The sequence below is a fragment of the Homo sapiens genome, chromosome 3, assembly GCF_000001405.40.
Source record: "Homo sapiens chromosome 3, GRCh38.p14 Primary Assembly".
Classification (NCBI taxonomy): Eukaryota; Metazoa; Chordata; class Mammalia; order Primates; family Hominidae; genus Homo; species Homo sapiens.
This window is the reverse complement of record NC_000003.12, coordinates 164,338,943-164,352,430: the sequence shown is the minus strand read 5'-3', so window position 1 is coordinate 164,352,430 and position 13,488 is coordinate 164,338,943. Positions and strand designations below refer to the sequence as shown.

Sequence of the window (13,488 nt, the reverse complement as noted above, 5' to 3'; positions counted from 1 at the left end):
ATTCTTACAATATCACCTATGTGGTATATTTTTGCATTTAAATTTCTGCCTGTTAAGCTTGACAGATGTAACTTTATTATATATTATGTTAATATATAATAAACATATTAATATATAATATGTTAATATATAATAATATGTTTATATACAATATATAATATAGTTTTATATAAAATTATATATTTTAATTAAAGTATATCTTAAAATTTTATTCTTACTCTAATAAAAGAAAGAGTTTCTTCATACTAGGTATGAAAACAAAATGAATATTTGTCATTGGTTCTTTTTACCCTTTTATTTTAATTGAACCACACTATTTAAAAATATTTCTTAGCACTGAGAATTTCAATTTTACTTTGAACTGAATTATTTTAATAAATAAGAAAATATTCAATTTTAAAAAATAGTGACATATGCTATTTCTTCACTATGAATTATGAGCACAAAACAATATAAACTAAGTAGTTCAAACTCATATTTATAAAAATATTGGTTAAAAGGATGACTATTACAGGCTAATTAATATAAATATTGTTAATGATTAAACTATTTTCTTCCTTAGAGAAAATGGTGCCACAGTCTGAACAGTTTTCTTTTCTTTTTTAATACTTAACATCATCTTTGGTAATATGAGCCTACAACAGTAAATCTGAACTGTCATAAAAATAGAGCTTTATTGATGGAAGTTCATTACGTACTCTACATCCACATTAAAGGAAGACAGATAGGAGGCATTATCAAACGTAGAGAGACACTTTTTTCCCTCATTGCTGACATTTATACTCTACAAATGATAAAGTAAAAGTGCCCTGTGACCTTTGGTCCCTCTCTTTTCAAAATTAAAAAGAATTGCATAGGACATCACAGGACCTACTGGGCTAGAGTGAGGTCCATTTCTCTCCTTCAGGGGATGGCTACCTGAAAGTGTGGCATACAGTAGGAATTTAACAAATGATTCAAGAAGTTAAGAGTAGGAAAATATGTTCAGGAATTTAAAACACAATGCATCTGGAATTGAACTAATTATACATATCCCAAATTCCACTGTCTTTTGAGTCATAACTCAAATGCCCTGGAATCTCTAGTTGACAGAATTTTTTTATTTCTTCCAACACATATAAGCTCTCTGTGGACCTGCCAAAAAAAATCTGACCTGAACAGTAGTTAAGTGGAAACAAACAAAACAAAAAACAAAAAACCAATAAACCTCAAAAACTACTGCAATAAAAGAAAAGAGACATCAGTATAGATCTAGCTCAATTCTGAATACCACATGAAAAAGTGATTCATAGCCCAGAAACACAGTTGGAGGGGGTCAAATAGTGGATGGAAAATTACTGAGAGAAACTTCAAGGGTAAAAGGTGGTTCCTGGCTAAGTTGACTTAACAGGATTTTTGCTGAAGGTAGGCAAGGATGATGAGATATCATCTTGTTGATGATGAGGTATGAGAAATTTGATTAGACATGGGGAGTGATCAGGTATTGAGGGTGGGATCCTGGCTAAACCAACTAAATTGTTTTTTTGCTAAAACAGAGGGATGCAAAGATAAACATGGAAGTCCATAGGTCAAGACCTACATGATCAGAGGATACAAAGAAAACTGACTGAAGTTTGGTCAAAGAGCTGAACTTTGTCTTACCCAAGGCACTTACTATTAATAATGCTCTTATAGTACTGATCTCAATGACTTCATTATATGACTCTTTTCCTCATCATGGTAAAAGTTTACTGTAGATCAGTGGCTCTAAATAGGGGGTGATTTTGCTTCCCATTGGATATTTGGCTGTACCTGAAGACATTTTTTGTTGTCACAACTGGGTGAATGCTACTGATATCTAGAGTAGAGACAACAATGTCACTAAACATCCTGCAATGCAAAGGACAATCCCTCACAAGAAAGAATTTCTATTTTAAAAGGTCAGTAGTGGTCAAATGGAAAAACTTTGCAGCAGATAAAGAATTGTGTCCCACTGCCATGTTCCTAAACTTTTGTCTGTGTGTGTGCTTCATATGAAGAATACTTTCCAAATTTTATAATCAGCGCATGAAGAGGCTAGGCGGTCTGTTAGAGATAGCTCATGACTTTTAAATACTGTAATGCATTTTATATAATAAAACTGTTTTTTTAACCCATTTGATTTCTTTTATTATAAAAATATTGTAATAAAATATTCTTTATAAAACATATTAGTTATGGTACATGGCATAGGCTACAATAGAAAGTCCAAATGTAGAGGCTTTAACAAGGAAGACATTTATTTCTTTCTCATTAAAAAGTTCAGAAACAAGTGATTCAGGAAATAGGATGGCTTCACATCATCAATATAAGTTTTCCTAAATCTAAGGTAGTGTCTCTAGAGCTCTTCACTTCCAGTCAGCTGTGAGGGAAAATAGGTAGTGAGTATATATGCATTTCCAATGGAAAACATCTTCTAATGCCTATTGGTCAGAATCTAGGACCAATTGATTACACTAAGGCTGGGAAATGTTGTCTCTTGATGGAAGACTCTGTAACACTGAAGTACAGAAATTCTACAGTACTTATAAAGAACGGAGAATGGTATAGGTCAGAACTAGCAATCTCTGATGAGTGAAGTAAGGTAAAGTTTGAAAAATATGAAAAAACAAAATAATTACTCAGTTTTCAGAGTACTGACTTCCAGTTTTCTAATGCTATTTTAACAAAATATAATAGTATTATAAGCAGACATTGTTTAATATTTTATTATGAATATCCTTTTATGTAAGTGAATGTTCTTAAAAAATAAAGAGCTTCTACTACTACAAAGTGTTTCATCATAAAGTTAACATATCATTTCTTAACCATTAGCTTTTATAGACATTTTAATAGTTTCTTACATTTTACTGTGGCAAAAATTACTAATGAACATCTTACACAGATATGGGTCCACCTCTGTAATTATTTTCTTAAGGGTGATTCCTAAAAAATGGATTTGTGGATTAAATGTTATGAGTAAATGTTTTGTAAAAATCTAAGACACATTGGTTAATTGTGTTTCACAGTGGTTATAGCAATTTATACCCCATCAACATGTGAGGCTATATATTTGACTCAATCATTGCCAATAGTTACATTACTGCAAAAGTATAATCATTGATATTGTTTTTTCTTCTGTAAAAAGAAAATTAAAACTCGAGATTCCATTTGACTATGCCAAAATGAAAATAAGGCTTAAAGCTGAGTTTTGCAATAAACTGCCTTTCCTTCTGTTCCTAGGAAGATACCTATAGATAAGGGATTAAATGTCTTCACAGGTAGCTACTCTATGTTCATCATCTTATGTAAAATGCTGATTTACTGAGTACAAGATGGATATATAATTGACTATTCCCCTACCTGTTCCTTTTCTCTTACAGTATGTGAATTCAGTAATGTGACCACACCCTCCCTTTGTCCCCTTCTGCATGCTCCTTTCCTTTAAATATTGAAGCCCTCAAAATTATCTTTGGATAAAGGCACAGATCTGTCTCCAAGGCACATCCTTACCCATGGCAAAATAAACTAAATTGATTGATACCTGTCTCAGACACTTTCTGGTTTATAAATTGGTGACCACAAAGGGACTCTGAGTGGAGGTAGCCCTGACCTTTGACAAATCTTGTATCAGTGCTTGACACCACTTTGAGTTATCTTGATTGCTCAAACCAATACAACAATTTTCTGAGGCCTGGGAGCTCCTGCCTCCAGAGAATCCATGATCTCCCCAAGTTCATTTGACATCTAAGTTTTATTTTCCTGTTCAATTCCTTTTCTGGAGTTTTGGTCACTTCCAACAAGGAAGGTGAGGTTTCCTGCTTCTGCAATGTTGGAGAGAGAGCAGGCAACTCCTTGTAGTTTCAGCTCACTTCCAACAGGGAAGGCAAGTTTGAGTTTTTTCCTGCTTCTAAGATGGTGCAGAGCAGTCTTCAGCCTGGGCCCCATTCCTAGGTAAGTAGCTGAATTGGGGTTTATTCTTGGAAATTATCTTTAATGATTAAAAGTTAAGATTAACAACTAGCTGGTCTTAATTTCTACTTACAATTAGAGCACACAGTAATTGTATAAATTGTGCAATTGTTTGTTTTGCTCAACTTTTTTTGTTTGTTTCTGTTTTGCTGGTTGTTTTTGTTGTTTCTGTCTTTTGTTCATTGAGTTTGATCAATTCTACCTGACTTGATCAAATCTGAAGGAAAGTTCCAAATTATGGGGAACAAGGCCTCTCAATTGGCTAAATTCTTGCAGTGAGAGAGAGAGAGAGAGAGAGAGAGAGACATAAATTTTGATTACCTGAGGGACTTTATTTAAATAACAAGGCCACCTTCTGCTAGCCAAGCCAAACTGACAGAGTAATGGCAGTTGCCCATCCTATAATTCAGTAGCTAAGATTCTGCCCTTTTTTCACCATGGCAGCCTGGGTTTGGATCCTAAGCCAAATCCTTTCTGCTTGATATTTGCATTACTTTTGAAACAGCAGCAGTTTGTACCAGCTACAAAATATTAATGAGATTTAAAAGAATTTTTTAAGAGCTCAATAGTTAAATGTCAGCTTAATTAAAAAATACATGTTTATGTACATACTGTCAGGCCTCTGAGCCCAAGCTAAGCCTTCATATCTCCTGTGACTTGCACGTGCACATCCAGATGGCCGGTTCCTGCCTTAACTGATGACATTCCACCACAAAAGAAGTGAAAATGGCCTGTTCCTGTCTTAACTGATGACATTGTCTTGTGAAATTCCTTCTCCTGGCTCATCCTGGCTCAAAAGCTCCCCTACTGAGCACCTTGTGACCCCCACTCTGCCCGCCAGAGAACAACCCCCCTTTGACTGTAATTTTTCTTTATCTACCCAAATCCTATAAAATGGCCCCACCCTTACCTCCCTTCACTGACTCTCTTTTTGGACTCATCCCGCCTGCACCCAGGTGATTAAAAGCTTTATTGCTCACACAAAGCCTGTTTGGTGGTCTCTTCACATGGGCGCGCATGAAATTTGGTGCCATGACTCGGATCGCGGGACCTCCCTTGGGAGATAAATTCCCTGTCCTCCTCTTCTTTGCTCCATGAGAAAGATCCACCTATGACCTCAGGTCCTCAGACCGACCAGCCCAAAAAGCATCTCACCAATTTCAAATCCTGTAAGCGGCCTCCTTTTACTCTCTTCTCCAACCTCCCTCACTATCTCTCAACCTCTTTCTCCTTTCAATCTTGATGCCACACTTCAGTCTCTCCCTTCTCTTAATTTCAATTCCTTTCATTTTCTGATAGAGACAAAGGAGATACGTTTTATCCGTGGACCAAAACTCCGGCGCTGGTCATGGACTGGGAATGCAGCCTTCCCTTGCTGTTTAATCATTGCAGGGATGCCTCTCTGATTATTCACCCACGTTTCAGAGGTGTCAGACCACGCAGAGATACCTGCCTTGGTCCTTCACCCTTAGTGGCAAGTCCTGCTTTTCTGGAGGAGGGGCAAGTATCCCAACCCCTTCTCTCTGTGTCTCTACCCCTTCTCTGCTTTTCTGGGAGAGGGGCAAAACCCCATCAACCCCTTCTCCTTCATCCTTAGCGGCAAGTCCCGCTTTTCTAGTGGTCAAGAATCCCCAATCCCTTATTTCTGCACCCCGACCTCTTATCTCTGCACCCCAATCCCTTATTTCCATGCCCCGACCTCTTATCTCTGTGCCTCAACCCCTTATTTCTGCTCCCCAACCCCTTTCCCACTTTTCTGGAGGGTAAGAACCCCTGAACCCCTTCCCTCCATGTCTCTACTCTCTCTTTTCTCTGGGCTTACCTCCTTCACTATAGGCAAACTTCCACCCTCCATTCCTCCATCTCCCTTAGCCTGTGCTATCAAGACCTTAAAACCTCTTCAACTCACACCTGACCTAAAACCTAAATGCCTTATTTTCTTCTGCAATGCTGCTTGACCCCAATACAAACTCGAAAGTGGTTCCAAATAACCAGAAAACGGCACTTTCAATTTTTCCATCCTGGAAGATCTAAATAATTCTTGTCATAAAATAGGCAAATGGTCTGAGATGCCTGACCTCTAGGCATTCTTTTACACATCGGTCCCTCCCTAGTCTCTGTGCCCAGTGCAACTCATCCCAAATCTTCCTTCTTTCCTTCCTGCCTGTCCCCTCAGTCCCAACCCCCAAGTGGTGCTGAGTCTTTCTAATCTTCCTTTTCTACAGACCCATCTGACCTCTCCCCTCCTCCCCAGGCCACTCCTCACCAGGCCGAGCTAGGTCCCAATTCTTCCTCAGCCTCCACTACTCCACCCTATAATCTTTTTATCACCTCCCTTCCTCACACCCATCTGGTTTACAGTTTCATTCTGTGAGTAGCCCTCCCCCACCTGCCCAGCAATTTCCTCTTAAAAAGGTGGCTGAAGTTAAAGGCATAGTCAAGGTTAATGCTCCTTTTTCTTTATCAGACCTCTCCCAAATCAGTGAGCATTTAGACTCTTTCATCAAATATGAAAAACCCAGCCCAGTTCATGGCTTGTTCAGCAGCAACCCTGAGACGCTTTACAGCCCTAGACCCCAAAAAGTCAAAAGGCAGTCTTATTCTCAATATACATTTTATTACCCAATCTGCTCCTGACATTAAATAAAACTCCAAAAATTAAATTCCAGCCCTCAAATCCCACAACAGGACTTAATTAGCCTCACCTTCAAGGTGTACAATAATAGAGTAGAGGCAGCCAAGTAGCAACATATTTCTGAGTTGCAATTCTTCGCCTCCACTGTGAGACAAACCCCAGCCACATCTCTAGTACACAAGAACTGCAAATACCTGAAATGCAAGCTGCCAGGGGTTCCTCCAGAACCTCCTCCCCCAGGAGCTTGCTACAAGTGCTGGAAATCTGCCCACTAAGCCAAGGAATGCCCACAGCCCAGGACTCCTCCTAAGCCGTGTCCCATCTGTGCAGGACCCCACTGAAAATTAGACTGTTCAACTCACCTGGCAGCCACTTCCAGAGCCCCTGGAACTCTGGCCCAAGGCTCTCTGACTGACTCCTTCCCAGATCTTCTCGGCTTAGCAGCTGAAGACTGACACTGCCTGATCACCTCAGAAGCCTACAGGACCATCACAGATGCTCTCACAGTGGAAGGTAAATCCGTCCCCTTCTTAATCAATATGGAGGCTACTCACTCCACATTACCTTATTTTCAAGGGCCTGTTTCCCTTGCCTCCATAACTGTTGTGGGTATTGACGGCCAGGCTTCTAAACCTCTTAAAACTCCCCAACTCTGGTGCCAACTTAGACAATACTCTTTTAAGCACTCCTTTTTAGTTATCCCCACCTGCCCAGTTCCCTTATTAGGCTGAGACACTTTAACTAAATTGTCTGCTTCCCTGACTATTCCTGGGCTATAGCCACACCTCATTGCCACCTTTTCCCCCAGTTCAAAGCCTCCTTCACAGCCTCCCCTTTTATCTCCCCACCTTAACCCACAAGTATAAGACACCTCTACTCCCTCCTTAGCGACCGATCATGCACCCCTTACCATCCCATTAAAACCTAATCACTCTTACCCAACTCAATGCCAATATCCCATCCCACAGCATGCTTTGAAAGGATTAAAGCCTGTTATCACTCGCCTGTTACAACATGGCCTTTTAAACCCTATAAACTCTTCTTACCATTCCCCCATTTTACTTGTCCTAAAACCAGACAAGGCTTACAGGTTAGTTCAGAATCTGCACCTTATCAACCAAATTGTTTTGCCTATCCACCCCATGGTGCCAAACCCATATACTCTCCTATCCTCAATACCTCCCTCTACAACCCATTATTCTGTTCTAGATCTCAAACATGCTGTCTTTATTATTCCTTTTCACCCTTCATCCTAGCCCCTCCTTTCTTTCACTTAGACTGACCCTGACACCCATTAGGCTCAGTAAATTACCTGGGCTGTACTGCTGCAAGGCTTCACAGACAGTCCCCATTACTTCAGTCAAGCCCAAATTTCATCCTCATCTGTTACCTATCTCAGCATAATTCTCATAAAAACACACGTGCTCTCCCTGCTGATCATGTCTGATTAATCTCCCAAACCTCAATCCCTTACAAAACAACAACTCCTTTCCTTCCTAGGCATGGTTAGTGTTGTCAGAATTCTTACACAAGAACCAGGACTGCACCCTGTAGCCTTTCTGTCCAAACAACTTGACCTTACTGTTTTAGCCTAGTCCTCATGTCTGTGTGCAGCGGCTGCCACTGCTTTAATCTTTTAGAGGCCCTAAAAATCACAAACTATGCTCAACTCACTCACTACATTTCTCATAACTTCCAAAATCTATTTTGTTCCTCATACCTGATGCATATACTTTCTGCTCCCTGGCTCCTTCAGCTGTACTCACTCTTTGTTAAGTCTCACAATTACCATTGTTCCTGGCCCGGACTTCAATCTGGCCTCCCACATTATTCCTGATACCACACCTGACCCCCATGACTGTATCTCTCTGATCCACCTGACATTCACCCCATTTCCCTATATTTCCTTCTTTCCTGTTCCTCACCCTGATCACGTTTGATTTATTGATGGCAGTTCCACCAGGCCTAATCATCACACACCAGCAAAGGCAGGCTATGCTATAGTACAAGCCACTAGCCTGCATCTTAGAACCTCTCATTTCCTTTCCATCGTGGAACTCTATCCTCAAGGAAATACCTTCTCAGTGTTCCATCTGCTATTCTACTACTCCTCAAGGATTATTCAGGCCCCCTCCCTTCCCTACACATTAAGCTCGAGGATTTGCCCCCACCCAGGACTGGCAAATTAGCTTTACTCAACATGCCCCGAGTCAGGTAACTAAAATACCTCTTAGTCTAGGTAGACACTTTCACTGGATAGGTAGAGGCCTTTCCTACAGGGTCTGGGAAGGCTACCGCAGTCATTTCTTCCCTCTGTCAGACATAATTCCTCAGTTTAGCCTTCCCACCTCTATACAGTCTGATAACAGACCAGCCTTTATTAGTCAAATCAGCCAAGCAGTTTTTCAGGCTTAGTATTCAGTGAAACCTTTATATCCCTTACAGTCCTCAGTCTTCAGGAAAGGTAGAACGGACTAAAGGTCTTTTGAAAACACACCTGACCAAGCTCAGCCACCAAATTAAAATGGACTGGACAATACTTTTACCACTTTCCCTTCTCAGAAGTCAGACCTGTCCTCAGAATGCTACAAGGTACAGCCCATTTGAGCTCCTGTATAGACGCTCCTTTTTATTAGGTCCCAGTATCATTCCAGACACCAGACCAACTTAGAGTGTGCCCCCAAAAAACTTGTCATCCCTACTATCTTCTATCTAGTCATACTCCTATTCACCGTTCTCAACTACTCATACATGCCCTGCTCTTGTTTACACTGCCAGTTTACACTGTTTCTCCAAGCCATCACAGCTGATATCTCCTGGTGCTATCCCCAAATTGCTACTCTAAACTCTTGAAGTAAATAAATAATCTTTGCTGGCAGGACTATGCTGAATCTCCTTAGGCACTCTCTAATCAGATGCCCTAGGTCCTCCCAATTCTTAGACCTTTTATACCTGTTTTTCTCCTTCTCTTATTCCATTTAGTTTTTCAATTCATACAAAACCGTATCTACATGACAAATGTTTCTTCTAACAACCCCACAATATCACCCCTTACCACAAAATCTTCCTTCAGCTTAATCTCTCCCACTCTAGGTTCCCATACCACCCCTAATCCCGCTCGAAGCAGCCCTGAGAAACATCGCCCATTATCTCTCCATACCACCCCCAAAAATTTTCAATGTCCCAACACTTTACCACTTTCATTTTATTTTTCTTATTAATATAAGAAGACAGGAATGTCAGGCCTCTGAGCCCAAGCTAAGCCTTCATATCCCCTGTGACCTGCACGTACAAATCCAGATGGCCACTTCCTGCCTTAACTGATGACATTCCACCACAAAAGAAGTGAAAATGGCCTGTTCCTGCCTTAACTGATGGATGACATTGTCTTGTGAAATTCCTTCTCCTGGGCTGATCCTGGCTCAAAAGCTCCCCTACTGAGCACCTTGTGACCCCCACTCTGCCCGCCAGAGAACCCCCCTTTGACTGTAATTTTCCTTTATCTACCCAAATCCTGTAAAATGGCCCCACCCTTATCTCCCTTTGCTGACTCTTTTTGGACTCGGCCCGCCTGCACCCGGGTGATTAAAAGCTTTGTTGCTCACACAAAGCCTGTTGGGTGGTCTCTTCACACAGATGCACATGAAACATAAGTGTGTGTATATATATATGTACTTGAATACATATATGTGTGTATATGTACATATATGTGTGTGTACATGTGTGTGTTTATGTGTGTGTATGTGTATATATATATATATATGTATGTATAAAAAAACCAAGTTCCTGGGAGAGAAAATAAGCATAAATATATGCTTTTAAATATATATGTGGTAAATAAATATATGTTAAAATACACATACACACAAATATGCATATATACACACATATACACGTATATAAGTGTATATATACACATAAAGATATATTGTAATACCCAACCTTGTTTTTTCCTTATTCACCTGGCCTTGTTTCTCCCTTAGCTAAGAGAACCAGACAAACTCCATCTTGGCTCTTTCACTGGCAGCCCCTTCCTCAAGGACTTAACTTGTGCAAGCTGACTCCCAGCACATCCAAGAATGCAATTAACTGATAAAATACTGTGGCAAGCTATATCTGCAGTCCTCAAGAATTCGTCTGATTGATAATGCCCAAAGCCCCGCCTCTATCACCTTGTAATAGTCTTAAAGCCCCTGCACCTGGAACTGTTTACTTTCCTGTAACCATTTATCCTTTTAACTTTTTGACTACTTAGCTTCTGTAAAATTGTTTTAACTAAACCCCCCCTCCCCTTCCTAAACCAAGATATAAAAGTTAATCAAGCCCCTTCCTCGGGCGGAGAGAATTTTGAGTGTTAGCGGTCTCTCGGTCGCCGGCTAATAAAGGACTCTTAATTCATCTCAAAGTGTGGTGTTTTCTCTAACACCCCTGGGCACAACATTTTGGAGGCCCCAGCGAGATATTAACACCACCGTGTGAGATCCGGTCTCGCTCCAGGCTCCCCCGGAAGGACGGCCGGCTCGGAGGCGGGGCGCCACCTGAGGAAACAATTTTCAGGTCCCCGAAGAGTGACCGTCTTCCAGAGGAGAGCAGATCGACTACCGTGTGAGTGACCTAAAATTCAGCATCTGAGTCCTCAGCTTCTGACCCCAGGGTCAGGTAGGTCAGATTTGACTTCCTTCAGGTTCTGGTAAGAGGGAAGCAGCTCTGAAGAGGGCGTCCCTCTTTTGACTCAGCCCGTTACTCTAGGACACTAGTGGGTTGAGCCTTGGTTTTCTGATAGGCGCCTTTGTGTCTTGGTTTGGGTGGGAAGGGGTCCTGAAGAGGACCCTCCCACTTTTGGACTTAGCTTAAGACCCAGACGCTGGGGAGCTGAGACTTGGTTTCTGTCAGACCGGTCTCTCTCTCTCTCTCTCTCTTTTCTATCTTCCATCCTTCTTTTGTTCAGGTTTCTTGGAGAATCTCCGGGAAAGAAAAAAAAACTGTTATAAACTCTGTATAAATGGTGTGTAAATGTGGGAGGACAAAGGCTTGCATTTGTCTTCCAGTTTGTAGCTCCACGGCGAAAGCTACAGAGTTCGAGTGGGCCCTCAACTGGGGTTCCATGGCTACCTCATAAGGCTTAAGGCAGCATCGGGCATAGCTCGATCCAAGCCGGGGGTTTATACCGGCCTGCCAATGCTAAGAGGAGCCCAAGTCCCCTCAGGGGGAGCGGCCAGGCGGACATCTGAATGATCCCATCACGGGACCCCCTTCCCTTGTCTGTCTAAAAAAAAAAAAAAAAAAAAAAGGAAAACTGTCATAACTGTTTACATGCCCTAGGGTGGAATTGTTTGCTTTATGTTTTATTGCTCTGTTCAGTGTTCATTGTCTTGTTTAGTATTTGTTAAGGTTTTGCATGTCAGAACGTCGATATTGCCCAAGACGTCTGGGTAAAAACTTCTTCAGGGTCCTTAGTGCTGATTTTTTGTCACAAGATGTTAAATTTCTCATCAGTTGTTTAGGCTGGCCACCACAGTCCTGTCTTTTCTGCCAGAAGCAAGTCAGGTGTTGTTACGGGAACAAATGTAAAGAACATATGTCTGATTGGGATTTCTGGCACCATGAAGGTTGGCTGGTATTTAGACTGTCATACCCCACGTCCTAGTGATTGGACTTCTTCTGAACTAAACTGGTGGTGGGTTCAAAACAGCCACCCTGTAGACCTACTTGCCTATCTCTTCTGTCATTCTGTAACCTTCCCCATGCCCTTAAATAGGACCTTGTGTAGGGAAACCTATGCCCCTACTGTTTACTTCATTTAAATTCCTACTCTGTTCCCCTGCGGATACTCTCTCATCTTAAAAACTACCCGAGTGGTCCCTTTCCTCCTCGTCCCTGCCCCCTACCCCGCACATCTCATTTTCCACCTCCTCGTCCCTGCCCCCCTACCCCGTACATCTCTTTTTCCAGTGCGACAGCAAGTTCAGCGTCTCCAAGACTTGGCTCTGCTCTCACTCCTTGAACCCTTAAAAGAAAGAGCTGAATTTGAACTGTTTGCCTTTGAATCATGGAGACATCAAAAATATTTAGGATATAGGTCTAGAGGAAAAAGAAGAGGGAGAATACCTAGATTGAACCAGCCCAGGAGACCTCAGGCTGGCGTCTAGTCCCCCTCCCTCAATCTTAAAGCTACAGCAATGTGGCAAGTTGTATTAGCTGTTGTGGTTTTTCTGTTCTTCCTGATCATGTTAATTCTGTTTTTCCAACACTCCAGCCCCCCAGGGAAAGAGTTTCTCTGCCCATGTTAGATCTGATATCTCTACTTAAGACTTTGCTAAATTGCCTTTAAATAATAATAATAATAATAATAATAAAATAGGAAACACTTCCTCCCAGCCTTGCAAGGGTTGGAGCCCCCTCCAGTGTATGCTGAAAAATTTTTCTCTTGGTTTCTCAGAGGATTAGGGAGTCTGCCTTAAGAAAGGCAAACTCTGGACACTCTGTGAAGTAAAATGGCCAGTTTAGAGTTAGGTGGCCCTCTTAAGGGTCGTTGAATCCTGTAATTGCTCAAGCCATGTGGCAGGTTGTTACTGAAGCTCCCAGCCACCCTGATCAGTTTCCCTATGTAGATCAATGGTTAAGTTTGGTCAAGAATCCTCCTCCATGGCTCCATTCATGCGCCATTCACAATTCCACCTCCAAAGTCCTCCTGAGCCAGGCTACGTTTTCGCCTCGACCCTCAGCCAGTTCGGCACCACCTGTACTGCCCTCCTCTGAAGAAGAGGAGAGTTTCCCTCACCCAGTTCCGCCGCCTTACAACCAACCTGCTCCTCTAGCGTCATCCCATGTCTCTTCAACGACGTCCTCTGTGGGGTCGCCGCCCATTGCCTCCCAGCTGCGAC

The 13,488-nt window shown here is 41.7% G+C and overlaps 1 long non-coding RNA gene across 1 annotated transcript in view, besides 1 other annotated feature; it reads right to left on the bottom strand.

The window, feature by feature from the left end:
• The window catches only part of LOC105374189 (uncharacterized), a 31,734-nt gene extending 18,246 nt beyond the window's left edge, over window positions 1-13,488 (bottom strand). Inside the window, exon 1 of the long non-coding RNA XR_924657.2 lies at window positions 13,411-13,488. This is a non-coding gene — a long non-coding RNA (uncharacterized LOC105374189). The remainder of the gene's footprint in view (window positions 1-13,410) is intronic.
• Window positions 9,706-10,258: an enhancer, noted in NCBI's record as "OCT4-NANOG hESC enhancer chr3:164059961-164060513 (GRCh37/hg19 assembly coordinates)". NCBI's record gives its function as "activates a minimal SCP1, AML or CMV promoter by ChIP-STARR-seq in naive H9 embryonic stem cells {active_cell/tissue: H9 hESC(naive)}" and the evidence as "EXISTENCE:reporter gene assay evidence [ECO:0000049][PMID:30033119]".